This window comes from Homo sapiens, chromosome 12, assembly GCF_000001405.40.
Source record: "Homo sapiens chromosome 12, GRCh38.p14 Primary Assembly".
In the NCBI taxonomy this organism is placed as follows: domain Eukaryota; kingdom Metazoa; phylum Chordata; class Mammalia; order Primates; family Hominidae; genus Homo; species Homo sapiens.
The window spans coordinates 38,713,558-38,738,059 of record NC_000012.12 but is presented as its reverse complement, the minus strand read 5'-3'; the positions used below and the strand labels follow the sequence as shown (position 1 = coordinate 38,738,059).

Genomic DNA, 24,502 nt, shown 5'->3' with positions numbered 1-24,502 from the left:
CGAGGGAGCTAGAACAATTATGATGCCTGTTGGCAACTCTGGCACAACTATGGGAAGTGGTGTCCCGAAATACAGAGAGAGAGGATATGCCAGAGGCAAAGAAGGGACTATTCGCCATTGAAAAGACCCTACCCTTGTGTAGCAGTGGACTCTAGAGTGCAACTTGCCAACTTTTGCTACTTCACGCTGGGGGTTTTGTGTTGTATACGTTTGTGCAGGAGAGAGAGAGAGAGAGAATGAGTATGTGTTACTCCTGGCAGATTTTTTTTCTTTGTGCTTTCTTATCAAAATATGAACCTTGGTTCAAAAAGTTATGGACTCTCTGTGTTCCAGGTTTAATCTCTGTGAAAAAGTGAGAGAAATTAAGATGAAATTATTATCTTTCAATGACATGTGGTAGTGATGGCTGACAGAGAAAAAACAAAGGTAGCAATATAATAGCAAATCTAGAGAGATGATTATATTGAACTTTACCTAATGAACTCAGGCAAATTTGAGTGAAAAAAGTAAAAAAATAGAAAGTACTAATCTATATTTAGCATTGGCCCAGAATTATCCCAGTATGTAAATGAGTAGGCTATAAAAGTATATGCTACATAAAGTAAAATTTTTTGAACTACTGTGCTATATAGTTAAAGTAAAATTTTTTGAACTGCAAATTTATTTTGTCTTGTCTACTTTTGACTGAAGTATATGTGTATATTTGTTCTTGAATAAAGTATCTGTTACTAGTATGTGGGAAAGTAGGTGATGGCATTTAATTGCATTTATTTAGCCATTGACCAATGACATAAAAAAAAGATACAAGAATACAGATTTAGTAGCACATTTTTTTTTAACTTCAGTCTTTGTTCAGCATTGAATATGTCATCATTTTATAATAGTGCTGCTTTTTTGTTTTGCGTATAATAATGATAATTATTGTTATTACTATTATTAATTCCCATTACTCTGAAAAAAATTACAACTTACTGGCCTATAGTTTAAACTTGAAACAGGACACTGAGTCACACAGACTTCCTTTTCTAGAGATTAGCGTTCAAGCTAAAAAATGAATTCAATCACATACAGAGACAAAGTATGTGAGTTACATAAGTATTTTAAAATCCGTGAAACTGGACAAGATTTTAACCTCAGACATGAGCACAGTAAAGTTTCTAATTTATATAATTCTAGATAAGTATCCAAGGTCATAACTGGATAAATAAATTCCATTCTACTTTTTAATAGATTAAGTTACATTTGTGAAACTGTTGCTAGGTAAAAGTTATTTCCTGTTAAGAATTTTTTGACTTAACTATCATATGCTTTCTATTTGTGTAGGCAAATTTTAATTTGAATGGGGAGCTTTTGTTTGACAATATTCTGGTGCATTCAGCTTGTTAGAAGCAATAGAAATTGAATTAAAGGTGTTTATATTTTAAAAGTATACTTCATGTGGAGTTAAAATTTAAATTATGTCTAATAGATACACATGCAATTTAAATGATCTAACATTATGAATATACTTAAAAATATGTATATATTCTTTTTTTTAAAAAATAATTTGGCGTAACTAAACAGGCATACAATTTTGGCTTAAATGTGATAAATTATTATATATAACATATCCTTAACTATGGCTTATAGCACTTGCTTTACCAATGTAAACCACAATAAAAATATTATCTTCATCTTAGAAAATGTGATTTGTTCTAGTCTTCGTGTATCTTTGTGTGGATATAATCAAGAGGTGAAAATAAAATTAATAAAATATTCAATAATCATAATAGATGAAATATTAACATACTAAAATTTAGAATTATAGAAGTGTAATACACACACAACACACACACACACATATATACACCCAGCAGGGCAATAGAACTTATTATATATATGTATAAAAAGATAATTATATCTTTTAAAAATTCTATCTGTATTAGAAATGGATTAATGAGCAGGTGTGGCTAAGACTGATAAAATTAGCCTAGTTCTCCTGCTGAACTCTTAATTTATGAGAGTGGTTTTATCTATGTATTTCCCTCTTGGAGGCCCAGAGTACTATTGTAATCTACATAGAGAGCAAAGGAAATTTAACCCTTTTGAAATGATTTAAAATATCAGCAAAGCTGGAGATAAATGATCACTTCTACATTGAATACATTGATACATATCTTATATATAATAATTTATACTATTAATAGTAAAAACATGAACCAGGACTTTATGAAGAAAAAATTATTTTTGCTCAAAATATGCTTATAGTTTGTGTTTACTGGGGCAATTAATTAAAAATCATGCTAGTTCTGCAGATTTAGACAGAGATTGGCTCATAATCTAGGAATACTGAAAGGTCATATTTCTTACCTTTTTAAGAAACTAGATTATCAGGATTTGAAGAAGTTAAAAGGAAAAAAAAGGCTTGATTGTGTTGATGTTTTAACTACTTTCTGTAAGAATCAGTGAAGGTTGTTGATGTTATCGTATAAGAAATCATTCTTAGATGCTGAGAAGTTTGTCAAACACTATGCCTACAACAAAAGCAAAGAAAGTTAGCAAAATCAGAGAGAGCTAATACGTTGTTATCTGGACCTATGAAGATGGCTTTTTGTGGTGATAGGAAAACAAGTCTCATGGTGCATTTTACTTGTAATCATGGAATTAAAGGCTTGGTTCCAGTCACCTCTGAAAAACTCTGCTGCCCTCTGCCCACAAATACAGATTTAAACCTCTTTTACTGTTTAAACAGTAAAAATGTCTGCAACCCATGCGTTTAATTAGGGTCATCATAACTACATTTCAGTCCAAGGGGTCTTTCATTTTCGTGACTGCTCCATTTTCAAACTCACTGTTTTCAAAAATCTTGATATGTGTTCCAGGACTTGAACAGAATTGCAAGACAGGGAAATGTGGGAAATCACTGCGCTGAAGTACAAATGAGAGACAAAAACTAAGGGTGTTGTTCCCCATGAGAAAAGATCATACCAGTTTTGTTCCAAAATCCCTTCAGCATCCAAATTAGAGAAGTTGTCTTTCACATACAATTTGTTTACAAATTCTCATTTGAGATATCCTTTGATACATATCTGAAACATGTTACACTGCGGTGTACTCCAAAGGGGAGACATGCCTTGTGAATTAAGCATACCTGCATGAGAACAACACAAGCCACATGCGTGTGTAACTCCAAAATATTATGAGACAACACACATCCATTCATAAGCCTATTACTTCTTTACAAATTAATTTGATTAAAGCTTCTTTATTGACAAAATGTATAAGTGTCTGGAGTTACAGTCTTCATAATTAGATTGTATTCTAGAAGTGACTTTTTGATAAGTTAAACACTTTTCATAGAAAGAATTAAATGAATTCTCTGGTTGATGTTTGAAATAGAAAGTAGGCATTACCTCCAATTTTAAGGTGAAGACTTAAGGACCCAGAGGTTGACTGACTGACTCAAGACAACATGGTGGTAGAGAAAGGGATGAGGTGGGTTAGGTATGTATTTGCCATTGGTCCATATTATATGCAAAACTAGATAAATGTCAGGAAAATAAGCATTATCTATTGAAGGGTGGCCTTCAGGAAAATCTTCAGATGTGCCAAAAATGGCAATATTCTCTTTTTTCCATACCTTTGTTGTAATTACATGGGGACATTTTCATGGAAAATCATAGTTGTCTGCATTACTCTCAGAGTTATTTTAAGGAGATAGAGAAGGTTAATATGTTTAATATGATTGGCACTTGTGCCATTCTTTGGGGCTGAATATAATTGATGTGAGGCAAATTTGTTAATATCACTGGCAAGGTAAGATCACAGTATGACTGTGCTATTGCCCTAAGTGTGTTTGCAAAATTCAGCTGTGCCCATTGTGTAGCAGGTACGGAGGGGGATGCTGGGAATCCTGAGATGAAGTTAATACCTTTCTTGCCTTCAAAACATAGGTGAAGAGAGGAAATACATGAATTGATGGGTTTAATATAATATAGGAACTGTGATGAGAGATACTGGTTATTTGTTTGCTTGTTTTATGTTTTTGAGAGCAAAAAAGGGAATGAAGCAAAAAAGACTTCTTGGAGGATATCATAGCTGAGCTGTAGAGTAAAAGATAAGTGATATAAGGGAGTAATACCCCAAAAGTAGAGGGAGATGGATAAGTTTGTAAACTGTCCTACAGGTTTCAGGTATAAATGTGACTATGCATAATACCGTTTTCCCACTATTAATGGAGCATAGAAATGATCTTAATGAACAGATTTTATTCAACAGTTTAATCACTTTACTCAAGGACTTTTAGAGCCAAATTACTAGCTACAGTAGTAATCAATTTGCTCAAAATACGTGTTTAATTCATTCCCTCAGACTTTAAATAACACATACATGTAATAAAAGGTAGGGGAAAAATAGAGACGTAAACAGACACAAGCCAGATAAATGGCACTGGAGTAAACTTTATTTTGTAAATGCAGTCAGAGAGCTTGGAACTTATAACATAGAATAATTATTTTAGTTATAATTATATTAACAGGAAATAGCAAAACAGTATTATTGAATCACAAGGAAATTATTGGTTGTGGTTTATTATCAAAGTATTTTTCGTCACGTTTCTCTGTATAGTGAGAATTGTTTCAGTATTACAGTATTGAGCATCATGAACAGATAAAATATTAATGCACATTATATTTTTTCTTTTAATCTTAGTAGAATCTAGGAATAGTTGGTAATAGTGTAAAATATAATAAAAATCAGTGAAAAATACCTTTAATATTCTCTTTAGAGTAAGTATCTGTGATTTAATGTATAGTATTTGAAGTCAGACAGGTTACAAAGGTTAGAAAGTATAAAAATATCCATGTATTAAAAGAGATCTATAACAAAATTGGCCTGAGAATCTATCTACTTATCTACCCAGATTCTTCAGATATATTCTTGAGACAATGCATCTTATAGCTTGGGTTGGCTATTTTATTTTTATCTCCATATACTGCCTTATGTTTATGACTTTTAGCAAATCCTCACTGCTGGATCATCTACTTCTCTAGATGCTGAATGGATGCAATAATATGTTTTCTTAGTCTTACAGAAATGTTATGTTGGAGGCTGAAATGCAATATGTGATCAACATACTTTCTCCTCTACAACACATGGATAGCATTGCATTTACATGACATGCAAATTCAGTGTTTTGTTCAAAATAATCATCTTGAACAAGATTTAGAAAGGAGGACTAATATTTTATTCATTGTTTCATTTATGTATGTTCTATCTTATTCTGAAAAGGATCCAAGGCAGCTTATAGAGATGCTTGTAATATGAGAGTAAACTAAATTGGCTGGGGACATTGAAACAAAGGAGTAATATAGGGTGAGAAATCTGAAAAGTCTGCAGAGGACAGTATGTCATGAAGACATGTCTTGCTAGAGACTTTAGCTGTAAGCTCTCTAACCACTAATGCAGAGGAGAAAGCTTTCTCCCTTTCATGATAAAAAGGGTCCTTTCAGAACAGAAAATATAAGTGGGCAGCACAAAAACACAGATTCCTAGTCCTGAGACCAAAGAGATTGTCGTAGACCTGTTGTTCACTGCTCAATTCTGTAGAGGCTTACAAATTTAACTAGAACAAAAGAGAACCAAATATCAAAGAACTGCTTCAAAGTTCCCCAATGACTTCAACACAGGCAAGTCAATGTGTAGTTTGGCAAACCTGACCATTGCAGTTGGGTCGGGATTTGTTATTCTGTCAGACTGACTTTATCCAGATGGAGGAGAAATTGGATTTACTCAAGACCAGTGAATTATCACTTCTTTCTGCCATGTTTTTGATAAGCATTGTGTGGCGGAAATTAAGTGTTAACAATTAAGAGTTGAACATTGGATTGAGATAATTAACCAAGCATGGGTAAGTTTAGCACAGTCAGAAAATGATCACAAGGGCTTAAGTGATTCAGGCATTTTTAAGGCCCCTATGTTAGGTTCCCACCACTGCTGTGGTGAGCTCTGTTTATATAAGCCTCCTCTACAACTATCGATATCAAAGCGTTGTGTTTGAAGTGCTCTAATAGAACCTTTTATCTCAGTGGTTATTAAGATATCTGAAACTTGCATAGCAATGGAGGAGGATGGATTCTAAAAAAAAACCTTCATAATTCAGAAAATTTTAAGAGTGCAGTGAAATAAATCATGAGTATATACTTGCACTTTTGAAGGTCAAAGAGAATTATTTTATGTGTTCTGATTAAACCAATGTTACCGGATTTCATACGAATTGTACTAATCCAAAAGTAGTGTGTAACACTAAAGTGCTGTTTTGTGATTTTTCCCTGGGTAACTTGAAAGTGAGTTCTAGAAGTTTGGGTTCATAAATAGGAATATATCAGAGCCTACAATTCTTTTTGCTATTAACATATTCATATTAATCTGCTTCTGAAATTTAAATCTAGAAGAGGTCAAAATGCTATTGATATAAAGAGTAATGTTTCACATAAAATACCATGAAATATTAGTATATACAAGATAGTTTAGGGAGAATAAAGGACTGGATACCTAAGTAAGTTTTTTCTCAAATAAGTTCTTTAAAAACATTTTTTTATTGCAAAAACTCTACTAAAATTAAGGGCAGATAACATTTTTACCCCTCCACATCCTGTCTTTAAAAACTGGTATTTTCATTGGTTAAACACCACTTGTATGTTGCTTGTTACTGATTGCAAGGTCCATAAAAGTTTCATGGATTTTAAGCGATTCAGTTTTATGGCAAGGAATAGCTTGCATTTGCAAAACAAATTGGCAGAGCTTAAATTCTATTATACAAATGGCTACTGTGACATCCCTTATGTTTGTTATATTGCTTTCACTCCTACAATCTGTATATTCTTCTAACGTGCTACATTTCACCATTGCACTGAATACCAGCAGTTTGTACTTACTTCTCAGCAGTGTGTGTTCAACTTAGCACTGGCCATTAAATTAACTCAAAGGGGTAGAATATGAGTCTGCTCTAGATTGCTGAATGTTTAGCATGTTTTTGTAGTTGCACAGGTCAACCTCAGTTGATGAAAGCTTTTTAGTTAGAACTAATACATGTTTACTCAATCCTTACCCCTCCTCACCTAAACTGAGAAGACACCTGAGAAGGTAGTGATGATTACTTCAAGGTGCAGAAATTCTGAATTAACATGTTGTTATTGATAAAATATTTATTAACTATTATAGAAAAAAAGTGTAGTGACTATTACACATATTAATATGTTATAACTTTTTAAAATAGCATCCTATTACACTCTGGCCATAGGAAAGTTTGAAGATTCTTAAATTATTATATTTTAAAAATATATATCCATAGATATGGACAATAATAAATTTATTAGTGTAGTCTCTAACTTTCATCCTAGTTAATTAATCATTTGAATAATAGATGATTTAACAGTTTTGAGAAATGTGTTATCAAAACTAGTATACCTGTTTGAAATGTTAATATTGGTGGAATAAATTAAACATTTGAATATTAATGAAATTGTCCGGCATACATAATTTTAGATTAATGAACAATGTAATTATGTATTAGTCCTTTTAAATATTTTGTAAATTATTAATTTATATTCATAATAATATCAAGCATTTTTTTGATAATGATTAAACCTTTCTAAAAACTTTAAAATACAGTTGACAAATATATGAAAGCCAATATTATGTACTTTTTTCCTTTAATTTTAGTCATGATTTCATTGGAGAATTTACAACAAGCTATAGGGAACTTTCTAGAGGGCAGTCACAATTCAACGTATATGAGGTAAGAGGCATTTTATTTTACCATTGTTTTTTTCTAGAATAAATAAATCTGTGCTTTAAAAGTGTGGATTCTGCAAAGCATAATTGCCAAAGGTTAACTAAGTATCAGTGTATGTAAGAATCTTTGAAGTTGTTGAGCAGACATTTTTAGATTCAATGATATTACTTCTTCAAGTCACATTTAAATGTTTTTGATTTTTAATTCTTGTGTATAAAGCATTTTACTTTAAAAATATGGATATAAGTTTATTGTTTCTTAAGCTTCAGCCTTTATGTTTTGCCTTTTTACCAACCTCCTCTTCCATCTCTTCCTAATAAAGAAGAAGATTAGCATTTTTGTGGTGTCAGTGTGGCGTTATAAAATGAGCTGTGGTCTGCATATATATCTGAGCACCTTCACTACCGTTTAGGTGGAGACTGAAGGGAATGACAAGGTAATATGCAGCCATTAAAGAAATCCACGTTGTTAAAGCAGACACATTGTAGTTATTTCTGCCTAACACCACTGTGCCAGTTAATCACCAAATATGTATTGAGCATATAGTATGTTCTAGCACTGTTATTCCTTGAGCTATGGCATCTGTACATTTCCTTTAACTTTAAAATTTAACGTATGTGGATACCAAAGGAGAATATCTCAGTATTTAATCAAGAATGGTAATACTTCCCTTCCAGGTTGATGCTAAAATTGGCCTCTGTTAAGTAGAGAGTGAGAAATCTCCTTCTACCACTTTATTCCAGCATTTATTTATTCATTCACAAAACAATTTTTTAAGTAGTTTCTATATTTTATGTTCTATGTTAGGCCCTGGGGATACAGAGGTGAATATAAATTTCAGTACCTAATGGGAGAGACAGATATAAAATATGTTTTGTGTAGATAGATATGTGCTCTATATAGTAGTATACTTAGTGCTCTATGAAATTATTACAGAGGGGCCAAACTCAGCTCAAGAAAATTTCTCAGTCAGAAAGAGACAAAGATTATGCATTAGTTTAGCTGGGTCTTTCAAGGAAAGAATATTTAGGTTCTAAACAGGAAATAAATCATATAAGACAGGTTGTAATTACGTAAATACCTATTTTGTCTGCCTAACATCAAGGCTGAGGAAGAACCACACATGCACACTAGTTCTCCTTGTACTTAGGCATCATCTACTGCTAGTCAGCATATAATACTCCAGAGATTAACCACTTTTAGTTTCTCTAGCTTTTGTAGCATTTTCTCATCACTGGTTTCAGTCAGTCCCCAGACTCTCTTGTCCAATAAAGCTTGCTAACTGACAAGACTGGTGCCACATCTGATGAGATGACAAAGAAGCTTAATAATGTTTATGTGTTCTTAAATACCCTGTAAGGCCATGACTTCAAATATAAATGTTTTCTTATTATGCATATTTTCAAAAGAAGAGATCAGTCTGAAGAAAATCTAGGAGACCATTATGAATTATGTACAAGTAATTTTAGGAGTTCAATGGACAATCTTGGGTCCAATACATTACAAACTTTATTATCTGCACTTGTGCAAGGGATTCAGGTTTATCAAGCAACCAAAAAAATTTCCAGCCATTAGTTCTTCATATAATTATTTCTGCCACTTTCTCTTTCTCCTCTCTCTTTTTGGTACTACCATTCTACTTATGTTGTTATGCTTAATGGTGTCCCATGGTTCTCTTAGGCTCTGTTTTTTTGTTTTTGTTTGTTTGTTTGTTTTGTTTTGTTTTTCTTTTTTTGTTTCGTTCCTCAAACAGGAAAATCTCAGTTGACAAATCTTCAAAATTACTGATTATTTCTTCTGCCAGCTCAAATGTTCCGTCGAACCCTTCTGGTGAATTTTTCATTTCAGTTGTACTTTACAAGTTGAGAATTCTTGTTTGGCTCCTTTTTATGTAATTTTGATTCATTTTTGATATTTTCTGTTAGGTAAGGAACTGTTTCATACTTTCATCCTTTACGCATGATTTCCTTCTTTCAATATATTTGTAATAGCTGATTTAAAGATTTTGTTTAATAAATCCCATATCTGCAAGTCCCCAGGGACAATTTCTGTCGACTTCTTTCTTCTATGTATAGAAAAGTGTGGGCTATACTTTCCTGTTTCTTTGCATATCTTATTTTTGTTGTTGTTGAATGCTGGAAACTTTAAATAATATAATGCAGCACATTGGAAATCAGATCCTCCAGCTTCTCCAAAGTTTGTGTTTTTTGCTCTTTGTTCAGTGATTTTCATGGACTAATTCTATAAAATTGTTATTCTTTGTCATGTGGGCTGCTGAAGTCTTTGCTTGGTTAGCTCCGTGATCAGCAGATATTTTGACAGAGATTTGTATACATTTGGGCACTCCTTATATGCTCCAACAACGTAAAGTCCTGCCTTAGCTTTCACTTGTTGTTTGAGCAGAGACTTGAGGTTGGACGGAGATAAGAATTCCCTAGATCTTCCTTGGGCATGTGTACACCCCTTCAAAGGGCATGGGCTTCTAGATTTCCAGCAATATGCCAGAGCTTTTAAAAGCCCCCGATAAGCATCTCATTCTCTAGATCTTCCTTTTTGGTTTTTGAGTTAGCCTCTTACTTGCCTCAGATTATATCATCACCTCCAGCAGATACGCTGTTAAACACCTGCAACTGACTACTTTCAACAAATGTCCTGGAGATAGGGCATTTCCCTCTGAGCAGGCTTTGAGTTAAGTCAAATAATGACAAGCCCAAGCCCTATGAATGGAGCTTTTCCAGAAAGCTTCCATATAAGTCAGTTAATGACAATTCTCTAGAAAAGACACATTTTTTTTAAGTTTTGTTTTTAATTGACACATGTTAATTGTAAATACTAATGGTGTACAGTGTGGTGTTTCAATACATATATACATTGTGTAATGATCAAATCAGGATAATTACCATATTCATTACCTGAAACACTTTTTGAAGAACTTTATACCCATTCTGTCCCCTCCAATGGCTTTTAAACTGTTGGTTTACACAGCCACTGTAGTTGCTAGGCTGACGGTTTTCAATGCTGCTACATACAGAGCTGGGAAAAGTAGGATTGCAGTAAAGCAAGTTAAAATGACATAGTGAGATTTACTCTTTGTCTTGAATGAGTGATCACTGATTTTTGCAAGCCTTTGATTAATTTCCAGATTCATGAAAAAATTTGATTTTGACAATTTTTGCTAGTGTTCTCATTGTCTTTATGGACAAGCAACTTTGCAGAGGGCCTTACTCTATCATTCTAAAGTGACTTCCCTAGTCCATTATTTAGTTTTAGAAGTGACGGATGCTACTGTATTTATATATTACATAACTTTATTATTGTTACATCGGATGTATTATTGGCAATTGAAATGGTCCTATATGATTAAATGAAAACATCTTTATGCAATTAAATTTAATTATGTAATTTAAAACCAAATCATGAGGTAATTTTTCTGTGACAATAGTGCATTATGATGTGCTGACAGCAAAAAGACTCATATGAACTGAAAGATGCTTATGAAATTCTACTAAAAAGTTACTCCTAAAATTTAGGAAAAACCTCTTCTAAACCAAAGGCATAATGCTAGATTAATGATTTGTAGGTGGAAAAATGCTGAAATATGGTTTTTCGAGAAAAATGTATCACTGAACTTTTTATTTTCAAACTTTTGATTGAATTAATTTTATTCATTGATTTCCTATATATTGTTCAGAGTGCTTGTTCCTCAAATTATCTGGAAGAATTGCGGAATTCTTCAAATCTCAAGATCAAACATTACCTTTCTCCTCCAAACAACCTGCTCCATATTTAATAGAATAACCATTGAACCATCTGAAAAATTTGTGATCTTGCCAGTGACGCCCAACATCCTTACTGGTGCATGTTTTCCTGTAGAATTTGTTCAATTAGGGCTTTCTGAAATACACAATAAATAATACGTGGAATGAATGAATGGATGACCAATTTCTCCTTTAGATTTTCTACTTAAATCTGAAAAACGTACTTTATTCTGTTGTCTTAAAGTTTTGTTTTTTTTTTTGGTGAGCCGTTTTTAATGGGGCTTCCTTATTTAATGATTCATTACTTCTTGCATAGAAAATTTAAAAATAGGACCCTAACTGTTGCCTTCATTTTCTCCCCTTACAACTCTATCCTGTAGACCAGGGGTCCCCAACCCTCAGGACACAGCCTAGTACAGGCCTGTGGACTTTTAGGAACTGGGCCACACAGCATGAGGTGAGCCGCAAGCAAGGGAGCATTACTGCCTGAGCTCTGCCTCCTGTGTGCTCCTTATAAGAATCTAATGCCTAATGATCTGAGGTAGAACAGTATCATCCCGAAACCATCCTCCCCACCCCCATCTGTGGGGAAACTGTCTTCCATGAAACCAGACCCTGGTGCCAAAAAGGTTGAGGACTGCTGCTGTAGACCTATTATATCATTCTCCTATTTAAACATCAACTAAATTAACACCCAAACTCCCTGGCCAAGATTAAGGATCTCCCTAACATGCCTCAGCTTATTTTTTCAGATTCACTTCTGATCCGGTTGTGTGGGCTCTCTGCCCCAGCCAACCTGGGTCAGTTGCTTTTTCTTCTTTCTAGAATGGTGTGTTTATTTATTTATTTTAAATTGAAGCCTTAGTTTAAGTTAATAAATTGTGGTTCAAATAATACTTATTCATAAACGATTTCATCTTTTTTTCCTGTCAAAGGCTTTCTCCATATTTTGGATTGAGATGATCTGAAGAAGTCTCTCCTCAGGCAATTATGTATTACGTTTATCCCATTAGATCGGCAGGTCTTATTTATCTTAATATTCCCTATATCCCCTAATATCTTATGAAATATAGAGGTGCAATCTTATTTACTTATGGATCAAATAGTCGAAAGGCCAATCTTATGTCTACAAAGCAGACCTTTACCAATTATTATGTAGCATGGGAAACTGGTGGAAATTACTAACATTATAAAGCAATAGTGAGGTCAATAGATCCTTTAAATATTCACACATTGGATGATTTGCTATGTTAGTGTATTTAATTTTTAAAGTTATGTCACTTGAATATTCTTTAACAACCCATCATTTTTCTATAAAGCAATCATTAGTTAGGACATTAGATGTTAAAGGTCTCTATCATATCAAGAACGTGACCATAGTTAAGGGTAATCAATATGTACAGGTGAGAAGAATATTACAGACAAAACATTTTTAAAAGATAGTCACTATTAACTTTTGCAGAGAAGTTTTGACTGAATGACTGTCCAAAGTCATACTGAAAGCATTTGTAAATGAATACATGCATAAGAAGGGAAGGCAGCAGGTTAAACTTCACATTTTTAAAAATTCAATATAAAACTTCGGTATAAAACCTAACACATTTTAATTGTTTTATCTGCTTTTTAAGGTGGTGAATCCCAAAAAGAAAGGAAAAAAGAAAAAATATACTAATTCTGGAACAGTAAGTCAAATTTTATGTTATTTATTAAAGATTAAAATAAATGAATAAGCATATATGTAGATGGCATCTTTAATCCTACTGGAAGCAATTAAAAAAACTGAGCTGTGTTTCACTCAGGGTTTTAATATGAAGGAACACAATAGAAAAATCAACTTCTCAGGGGACAGATTGTAATCAAGAATACCTTATAGAAGGTAGTGACTTGGCTTCTTGTAGATTATCCTAGGGGCTGCAAGGCCTCTGAGAGAGGCTGAAGTTTTGTTATGAACTCTTCATTCAGTGGAATCCAAGTATAATGAATCAGGCAGATGTAAAAAACACAAGTGGTAGTAAGAAATACTATACTCTTTATAGGCTATACTTAATAAGTAAGACTCGTTTCGTGGGATGTGTATGTGCTCAGTAAAATTGACAACTCTGTGGGAATGGTGTACTAAATCAGTACAGAAGGCAAAGATGTATCAAAAAATATAAAAAAAATCAATATCATCCTATTTTAAGAAAAAATACTGCAGAGTTTTTTCTTAAGGTAAACTTTTTTGGGGAGTAGCAAAATCTAACTTTTCCCTCAATTTTCTTTTAAAGATCTCTATAAAGCAAGACAGTTAAAATATTAGATGAGCTCGTTACAGAATCCTGACTGAAAACACACATTTCCTCTTGAAGGCTTTGCTCACTGATTTTGGTTTTTTGGTTTTAACCATTTTCCAACTCCCTTTCATCTTTCCTTTTATCTAAAATGGGAAGTAACACAATGTCCTTGTAGATAATTTTCATGCTGGTCTTCAAAGGAAGTAAACTGGTCATAGAAAGACATTGGTTAATTTTTTTGGTCCCTTTCCTTCAGATAATTTAAAATGTAAGAACAATCAGTCCTAGCAGATGTTAATAAAAAATAATATCTTTAGTGAGTTTCAAAATGCAAAGAAATATGATTTTCTCTCTAATAATTAGAAAGGTCTATTTGGGGTCACAAACAACTAGAAGGTAATTCTGTCTTTTTCTTTTTCAGGTAACTTTACTCTCTTTCTTGGTAGAAACAGAAGTTTCATTCCTTGACTACATTAAGGGAGGGTAAGTAATTCTCTCAAATTGTTTCGTTGCTTAGGCATTTCCTAAAATTTGTGTAACAAGCGCTACCACGAGGTACCTGGCACTGAAATGATCACCTTTATTATATTTTGATGGCAAGCCTATTAGACTTCTGTTTCAGATATAAAGAAAAAACGTACATACCTAGAGCTATTACTTTTGGGGCAAATTGTAACTTTAACCAAAAGAAAATATTGTATGATTAATAGTTGTAGATATGGCTATTATGTTCACTTTCATAGGATGTTTTTGTTTGCCTAATACATAGGACATTTTACATGTACTATTTATTATTTGTAATATAGGTGAAAAGCTTCAGGGCCTGATTTAAATGTATATACTAGGTTAAGAATATTAAAGGAATGTGCCTTGTCATAAAATCAGAATGCAGAAATGGATGGTGTAGTCATTTAGTTGGTCCCACAGCTCTCAGACAGGAATACATTTCAGGAAAAAAAAAATAGTTGTAACCAATTTTGAAATTTTTCAAAACCCAGACAGATCCTGTGTTGGTAATGTACTATAAGTTCTTACACCCTCATAAATAGGGAAGTATTTTCAATTTTGCTTCTCATTTTAACCTATTTCTTCCTTTTCTTAACCTTACCAAGCATCCCCTGTATTAGTCTGTTCTCACACTGCTATAAAGAAACTACCCCGAACTGGGTAATTTATAAAGGAAAGAGGTTTAATTGACTCACAGTTCCTCATGTCTGGGGAGGCCTTAGGAGACTTATAATCATGGCGGATGACCGATGGCACAGGGGAAGCAAGGCGTGTCTTACATGGCAGCAGGCGAGAGAGTGCATGTGAAGGAGGACCTGTCAAACACTTGTAAAACCATCAGATCTCATGAGAACTCACTTACTATCATGAGAACAGCATGGGGGAAACTGCCCCCATGATCCAATCACCTCCCACCAAATCCCTCCCTCGACACAGGGGGATTGTGGGGATTACAATTTGAGATGAGATTTGGGTGAGGACACAGAGCCAGACCATATCATCCCCAGAGATTTAAAAAAAGCATTGGTTGTCTTGCAGTATAAAATGTCTACACATTCTATTTTCCTTCACCTTGTATTTTCAATACGCAAAAGTGGAGTGAAGCAAATTTGAATGTGTTTAGTAACTTCATGATGAATAACAGTCAGAGATATCACTCACGTAAACCTCTTCCTAATTATGATTCAGCAACAGCCCCCTGCCACCCCATAAAGACACTGATAGAATGTCCTCAGGTTGAAGAAGGGGTTGAGGGAGTGGGGGGACCAAGGGAACAAAGATAGCTTCACAAAACCCAGAGAGCTTGCCTCTTGTTGCTCTTAATTAAGGATACAAAGCAAACAAACAAGCAAAATACCTACTTAAATGAGTACTCTTTGCTATATACGGGCATCCAAAATGCAAAGTGGCTGCACAGACTAAGAAGCAACAGTGGTTGTTTCAATAAAGTTAAAGTACAAAGTAGAAAAAAAAGTTTGCCAACTCTTAGTATTCCAATGTCTTTGCCTATTTTTATTTTCAGAAGATAGGAAAATAGAATGTTGAATTTGTCATAAAAATATATTTTATTCCTGTAAAAACTCCTTAGTAGTTGTAGGTAATAGTGTTACAGGATCTTTGGGGTGCCGCTTTTTCTGGCCTGAAACCTCTGGCCGGTGGCACCTTTTCCTGAGTTTGCTAGGGCCTGCTGGGCTCGTTCCATCCGCTTGGCCTAGCAGGCTGCACTTTTCTCATGCTACCAGCCTGCATCCCACGCCTGCCAAGGGTGAATCAGGTATGAAGTGGTGAGGGGTGTGTGAGCGTGAGATCCAGCCACTGTGCAGTCAGACATGCTGGCTGCTGCAGCAGGGTGGGCAGCTCAGGGTGCTGGCATAGGTACCAGCTCTCCGCAAGGCTATGGCTGGACCAGACGCACCACAAGCAGCTTCCCTGGCTGGCACCGGGGAATTCAGTGGCACCCGAAAGCTTGAAGATGCTAGGCACTGCAGGACACCAAAAAGGAAGTCACATCCCTGGCTCAGGGAGCTCCCAGGTCTGGGCTCCCCCAGGGGCCACAGCTATTCTCTCCTTCTCTATGCCTGCAACATGGTGAGCAATGGGCAGGTTTCAGCCCTGCTTGTGTTGTAGTTTGTTTAGCTCCGCCAGTTGGCAGGTCCCAAGTTCTTCTCCTATAGCCAGGAAGAATGAGGTATGCAGAAAATGAAGGGTGAGCCAAGATGAAGAGGAGTTTTATTGAGCAATAGAACTGCTTACAGGAGACCCTCAGGGGGTAGCTCCTTTTTGCAGCCAGGGCGCCCCTAGTGTTTAGCTCCTAGCAGAGAGGGGACCCTGGAGTGGGAAGCTCCTCTCTGCAGGCAGGTTGTCCTATCATCTTCCCAGATCTCCCAGATAGGAGGCCTTGGAGTGGGTTGCTCTTCTCTGCAGGCAGGCCCTCTCATCATCTCCCCAGCTCCTAGCAGACAGAAGGGCCTGGAGTGGGTTGCTCCTTTCTGCAGCTGGCAGTCCTGATGTCCCTGCAAGTCTCTAAAGTGCTCAGCAGAAAGGAGGCCCTAGAGTGGGTAGCTCCTTTCTGCTGCTGGTCAACCCCATCCTTACCAGGCATCCATCCCATCGGCCCAGGAATCTGTCTGCCTCCTGCTGCTCTTCTTGGCACCTGGGCTCAGCACTGACTTTGCTCCAAGATTAGAGCGGAAGCCAACAGCAGGGAGAAGCCAGGCAGTGGGAGTAGGCACTTCTGAGCCTGTGAGGGCAGGAGCTCTTCCTGGGCCCCCAAGGGTACAGGGATGCCTGAGCTTGCAGCTGTGGTTTGGGCAACTGCAGCTGTGTGGGGAAATGCGAGGGGGCAGCTCCTGCCTGCTCCATGGAGCAGGAGTGGCCTGGGAGGTCTGAGTCTGTAGCCGTGGCTTGGATGACTGCAGTGCACCTGGGGAGCTCCTACCCCAACTCGGAAAAGGCAGAGCTCCCACTTGTCCCTGGCTCCCACACGCTCCCCGGAGCATGCAGCCCCGGCTGTGCCTCCTTGCTGCAGCCAGCGTGATGGCAGCGTAAGGCTGTCTGGAGCAGCTGCTGCCATCAATAGTTGATAAAGAAATAAGGTAAGTAAATGGATATCCCTTAGCACCTTCTTTATAACTTAAAAAAAAATTACTTGATATATCTGGTTATATTTTACATGTAGAAATACTGATTTGTGGTATTGAAATGTTATAAATTTCTTTCAGTTTTTGTCTTGTTTTTTTGTTTTGCTTTATGAGCATGTGAAGAATATGTATGTGTATATATAACAGATATCCAGTACGTTCGGTCAGCGGTGCAAATCTAGCAATATTTGGGTGTGAGTCTATCAGTATAAAACATTCTCAGAATCTGGTACCAATAAATCACATTTATTGTTTGCTCTCATTCTCCTGCTGAAAATTCTTAGGGCTAATCAGAGCAAATGGCATTCTATAGTACCTGAAGCAATGACAGTCTTAACTCTATCACACTTGTCATATTTTTCTGTTGCTTACAAACCTTAGGATTCTTTTCCTTAGCTGCACACTTCCTACTTATAGCACTGCCTGTGCAGGAAGAAATGCTAGTTATTCTATAAGTGGAGCCCCAACTTATGGGGTACAGTTTGCCCCAATCCTGGCTTCTTGAGGCTTTTATAAGAACCCAGTTCTGGGGAGGTGGAGCTTGCAGTGAGCCAAGATCGCACCACTGCACTCCAGCCTGGGCGACAGCAAGACTCTGTCTCAAAAAAAAGAACCCAGTTCTGATTTACAAATGGGGCCTGGGGAAATATAGTTTAAGTTTCACAACATAATTAATCTAACTAGACCTAAGATAATTTCTATAAAACTTTATTATTTGTAAAGGATATGAAAAAATATTATTTGCATATATTCCGTTGTTTTTATACAAAGACATATTATAAATGTATGTAATGTCCTTAAAATATATTACAGTTATACATTTAACTATTATTCACCACAATATAATGTTTATAAGTAAAATACAGGGATATTAACTTATTCTTTTGGATAGTGGAATCCAAATCAACTAGCAATAATAATCATTGTATTATGTATCTTTAAATGTATTTATATATCTTTGCCCTGAAGGACTTCTTAAGAGCAATTGGCACAATTTCTTTCTTTCTTTTTTTTTTTTTTTTTCCTGAGACAATCTTAACTCTGTTGCCCAGGCTGGCAACACTGCAACCTCTGCCTCCTGGGTTCAAGCAATCCTCATGCCTCAGCCTCCCGAGTAGCTGGGATTACAGGCATGTGCCACCACGCCCAGCTAATTTTTGCATTTTTAGTAGAGAGGGGTTTCGTTATGTTGGCCATGCTGGTCTTGAACTCCTGGCCTCGAGTGATCTGCCCTTCTCGGCCTCCCAAAGTGCTGGAATCACAGGAATGAGCCACCACACCCAGCCAAATTGGGCACAAATTTAAAATTTGACTTTTATTAATGATATGGTAAAGAGATCTAGCTTGGTCATGACACCCTTGTGTTATACGGTGACAGGCAAATCATTTAAAATATCTAAACTATAATTTCCTGTAGTTCACATGAATTGGATATTCTGAAGTCCATTTGTAAAAGGATATAATTCAATTCAATCTTCCAGCTCTTCCATGACCTAATGACATCTTATTTATTTTTTCTTCACTCTGAAATCATTGTTTGCATTTTTACAGAAGGCTTACTCTAACCTATCAACTTACTCTCGGTGTAATTTGTGTATGATAATAGCTAACATCTGCTATTACTATTTTTTTATAATCATGGGATCACACTATGTGCAATACACTGCATTGTATGTTTTGTTCATTAAATGTATTGTGTGTATATGCTAGTATGTCACTACTACCTTTTTGTAAACAGTTTTCCATTATATGATTGTACATCATTTAATTTAAAAATTTCCTGTTAGTACATGCTTTAGTGACATACATTTTTTATTATAAACAAAGCTGCAATGTAAATACATGGTACATGGCATTTTATGCATTTCATTAGTGCATTTGTGTATAGATATGCAAGCATATCTGTAGAGTTACTTCCTAGAAATAATGTTATTGGATTTAATGATATACGTATTTCACAATTTGTTAGATATTTCTAAATTGTAATGCTAAAATACTCTAAGAATTTATATTCCCCAAATCTGTGCAGGATGTTTACCATATCCTTACCCTTTCTGAATAGTGCCCCTCCTTTTTCATTTTCACTAATTTAATAGATATAAGTCCTTGTCAGTTTTCACCTGTGAAACCTTTTTATCAGCTATTTTCATGTTTCCTGTAAAAGCTCATGTCAAACCAGCTGTGTCTTTGGAAACAGACCTTTCAGAACTTTTTGTCTTCTCCTGCTTCTTCCCCCACTTCCACCATAAAGGATTGTGTATTTTCAACTAAAGAAAAAACACAGAAAGGTAGTTTGGAGCTATATTCCTTTTTTAACAAGTCAGCTAAACTTCTGCAATATTCACACCTTGGTCTTTGATCCTGCTCATCTTCAGCATGCCTCAGGGGAGACTCTTCTTAAGTTAGCCCATCTGGCCATTATGCCCTCTGATGACACTGCAAAAGAATAAAATAAACAAAAACCTTGGGCTATCATCAACCAAACCACCCAAACTAATGCATTAGAGGGCATATTTATTAGTACATTTGAAGATTTGTGGAATTATCAAACTTAGCTTTTTTTTTTTAAAGATGCCCTTCCATAATACATAATAAGTATGATATTTCAAGGTAATTGGAACAAATTGCTGAATTTAATTTGGTTTTTATAATGAATCACAGTAACTCCTCACTTTTAACTTAAAATACTAAGATAAGAGCACTGATTGCTGCATTTGTGGATGGTTTTGTTGCTGGCTTAAGGTGGCATCATCAATTCAGGGAACTTTTTTTTTCTGACTTCCAGGCTTATTTCTTTATAGTTTTTTGGGGGGTACAGGTGGATTTTGGTTGCATGGATAAGTTCTTTAGTGGTGATTTTTGAGATTTTAGTGCACTTGTCACCTGAGCAATATACACTGTATCCAATATGTAGTATTTAATCCCTCACCACCCTCCCAAACTTCACCCCTCAAATCCCCAAAGTCCGTTGTATCATTCTTATGCCTTTGTGTTACCATAGCTTACCTTCTGCGTATAAGTGAGAACAAGATATTTGGTTTCGCATTCCAGAGTTACTTTACTTAGAATAAATACCTCCACCTGCACCCAATTTGCTGCAAAAGACATTATTTTGTTCCTTTTAATGACTGAGTAGTATTCCATGGTGTATATATATATATATATATATATATATATACACCACACTTTCTTTGTTTACTTGTTGGTCGATGGGCACATAGGTTGGTTACATGTATTTATAATTAGAAATTGTGCTGCTATAAACATGTATGTGCAAGTGTTTTTTTCATATAATGGCTTCTTTTCCTCTGGGTAGATACCCAGTAGTGGGATTGCTGAATGAAATGGTGGTTCTACTTTTAGTTCTTTAAGGAATCTCCATACTGTTTTCCATAGTGGTTGTACTAATTTGCATTCCCACCAGCAGTGTAAAAGTGTTCCTTTTTCACCACATCCATGCTAACATCTATTGTTTTTTGACTTTTTAATTATGGCTGTTCTTGCAGGAATAAGGTGGTATCTCATCATGGTTTTAATTTGCATTTCTCTGATAATTAGTGATGTTGAGCATTTTTTCATATGTTTGTTGGCTGTTTGGATATCTTATTTTGAGAACAGTGTATTCATGTCCTTCCTCACTTTTTGATGGGGTCATTGTTTTTTTCTTGCTGATTGGTTTGCATTCCTTGTAGATTCTGGACACCAGTCCTTTGTCAGATTCATTGTTTGCATATATTTTCTCCCACTGTGTGGGTTGTCTGTTTACTCTGCTGATTATTTCTTTGGCTGTACAGAAGCTTTTTGGTTTAATTAGGTCTGATTTGTTTACTTTTGTTTTTGTTGCATTTGGTTTTGGGTTCTTAGTCATGAATTCTTTGCCTAAGCCAATGTCCAGAGAGTTTTTCTGATGTTATCTTCTGGAATTCTTATGGTTCAGGTCTTCAATTTAAGTCTTTGATCCATCTTGAGTTGATTTTTGTATTAGGTGAGAAATGGAGGTTCAGTTCCATTCTTCTACATGTGGCTTGCCAGTTTTCCCAGTATCATTTATTGAATAGGGTGTTCTTTCCCCAGTTTTTATTTTTATGCGCTCTCAAAGATCAGTTAGTTCTATTTGGCTTTACACCTCGGTTCTCTGTTCTGTTCCTTGATCTATGTGCCTACATTTTACCAGTACCATACTGCTTTAGTAACTATAGCCTTGTAGTATAATCTGAAGTTGGGTGATGTGATGCCTCCAGATTTGTTCTTTTTGCTTAGTGTTTATTTAACTATGTGAGCTCTCTCTTTGGTTCCATATGATTTTTAGGATAGTGTTTACTCATTCTGTCAAGAATAATGCTGGTATTGATGGGAATTGCATTTGAGTCTGTAGAATGCTTTGGGCAGTATGGTCATTTCCCAATATTGATTCTTTCCATCCATGAGCATGGGATGTGTTTCCATTTGTTTGTGTCATCTATGATTTCTTTCAGCAGTGTTTTGTAGTTTTTCTTGTGGAGATCTTTTTCTTCCTTGCTGAAGCATATTCCTAGGTATTTTCTTTTCTTTCTTTTTTGCAGCTGTTGTAAAAGGGATTGAGTTCTTGATATGATTCTCAGCTTGTCACTGTTAGTGTACAGCAGTGCTACTGAGTTGTGTACATTGATTTTGTAACCTGAGACTTTACTGAATTCGTTTATCAGATCTAGGAGCTTTTTAGATGAGTTTTTAGGGATTTCTAGATATACGGTCATATCACTGGCAAACAGCAACAGGTTGACATCCTCTCTTCCAATTTAGATGCACTTTATTTCTTTCTCTTGTCTGATTGCGCTGGGTAGGACTTCCAATACTATGTTGAATAGAAGTGGTGAAAGTGGGCATTATTGTCTTGATCCAATTCTCAGGGGGAATGCTTTCAACTTTTCTCCATTCAGTATGCTTTTGGCTGTGGGCTTGTCATATATGGCTTTTATTACTTTGAGGTAAGTCCTTTGCATGCTTATTTTGTTGAGGGATTTTTATCATAAAGCAATGCTGGATTTCATTAAATGCCTTTTCTGCATCTATTGAGATGATCGTATGTTTTTCTAAATTCTGTTTATGTGATGTATCACATTTATTGAATTGCGTATGTTAAACTATCCCTGCATCAATTTAGGGGCCTAATTATCATAACCTTTCCACTGTCGGGTTATGCTCATGTTGAATCTGAATTGACAAGTAAAGCTTGACGTCATCAAAAGGGTGAAAAATTACAATGTAAGATATCATTAACAACAATTATATTGATTCTCTAGCTAGCTCTGCTTAATCCAAATACTTAGTTTTCTTGAATTTATTTTGTCCTCTACATTAATTTGGTAAAACATTTCTCTTAGACCAGATGCAAGGGAGCACAGGGATAGAGAAAGAGTGTGAAACAGGCAACTGTTGTGAACTGTTCAGCAATTTTGCTGAGAGTCAAACATTGCAATTAAATTCACAGAAATAACTTATTGAATTGCAATTTAAAATTTTATCTCTTCTTGTTTCTTCTCACAAAAAAATAATGGAATCAAAAATTATAAAAATGTTGTTGGTTTTTTACTCGTGAATCCAATTAGAAATTATGCAGAGTTAAGAAAAGACACATTTAAATACTAAACAAAATTGTTTTCATAGCCTTTTAATATCTTTTCCTTCAAAGGAACTTATTTTTAGGCCTGGTTCGTAGTATTCAATATTATACACTTCCGTTAGTTTAGTTATTATTGATGTAGATATTTACATGAAAATACCAGCTTGATTGTTTGTGAAACCAGATTGTTAGTTTGTTACTTTTCATTCATTGTCTCAATCCGTAAAATATTGTGTTTAGCTGCAGTAGACAGATTTATGGATTCAGGTACACAGTGAGCAGATGAGACAGATGCATTCTAAATCAACCCAAATCCAATTTTTATTCAAATATTCTCTGAAATACAAACCTAATTTTTAGATCTTTTTTTTTTTGATAAGCAGTGCTGTGTTTTTTCTGGAGTATGAGATACATTCTATAATTTGAAATAGTGAAAAGTTTTATTTTCTAGACAGAAGAATAATATTCATAAAGGAGCTTTGTTATAGTGTAATAAACACTGATGGTCTCTTCTGGATTATTGACCTTGGTGTCATCATTTTTAATCACACTCTGTACTTTTATCCCTGTAGTTATTTTATTTGTCTTTACTTATTAAAAATAATTTTAGATATTAAAATTTGAATACAATTGTCTACCTAAAATTGGAGATTATTTAGTAATCTCCAACCTTTGGCATTGAATACTTCAATTATCATTAATAAGGACAATGTCAGATTCATTTCAAATTACATACTGTTATGAAATCTAAGATAATTTCTTAGGTAGCATGATAATTATTTCAATTATTATTATTTGTGAACTGGGTTTATTCACTTTTACAGACTTGTAGAATATATACTTCCATATCCCCAGCAGCTCACACTGTAAGTGTCTGAAGACAGAATCATAAATTTCAATTTGGTTCTTCTGCCTTTTAGTCCTCTATGTCTCTCAAGTGTTATGACACTCCACTTCCCCATCCCCGTAACTAAGGAACAAATATCTATAAAGTTTTCCACATCTCTTTGATTGGCAGATGAAGGGGGAAAACAGATCACAAATTTTGTTGCACACCGAGTCCCTGCTAAGGCACTAGAATTTCATGTCAACATGAAATCCTGGTCTATGCTTTTATCAGAAAATTGAGTGTGTTAGAAACTTGGAGGTCTACAGACTGTCATTTTTATCCTTTGAAAAAAGGCCAAACTCTCATCCAGCGAGTCCAGGTGAGCTTATACTAATTTCCCTGGATGTCATTTTAATTGTTTATTTGTATGATTTGTTTATTCAAAGAGACATAATTTTAAAATATTTTTATAGGTCTGAACACAGAGTGGCCATTGAATAAATACAGACTAATTAGACGGCCATTTGGAGCACGATTTTCTACCCTTTTTTTCTCCCAAATTTCTTATCAAAATTAAAACCTAATGAACAAATAGAACTTTAAATACAGAATGTGACAA

General features: G+C 35.1%; 1 protein-coding gene across 7 annotated transcripts in view; it reads left to right on the top strand.

Annotated features, from left to right (window-relative positions):
• Window positions 1–24,502, top strand: part of CPNE8 (copine 8) — a 254,633-nt gene that overhangs the window by 168,776 nt on the left and 61,355 nt on the right. For all 7 annotated transcript variants that reach the window (XR_245896.5, XR_007063052.1, XM_017018852.2 and 4 more), the window contains exons 11-13: window positions 7,702–7,777; window positions 13,161–13,214; window positions 14,227–14,288. Coding sequence is in view for 5 of the 7 variants with exons in the window: in XM_017018852.2 (XP_016874341.1) it covers window positions 7,702–7,777; window positions 13,161–13,214; window positions 14,227–14,288 (192 nt within the window). In the remaining 2 variants the exon portion in view is untranslated. The remainder of the gene's footprint in view (window positions 1–7,701; window positions 7,778–13,160; window positions 13,215–14,226; window positions 14,289–24,502) is intronic.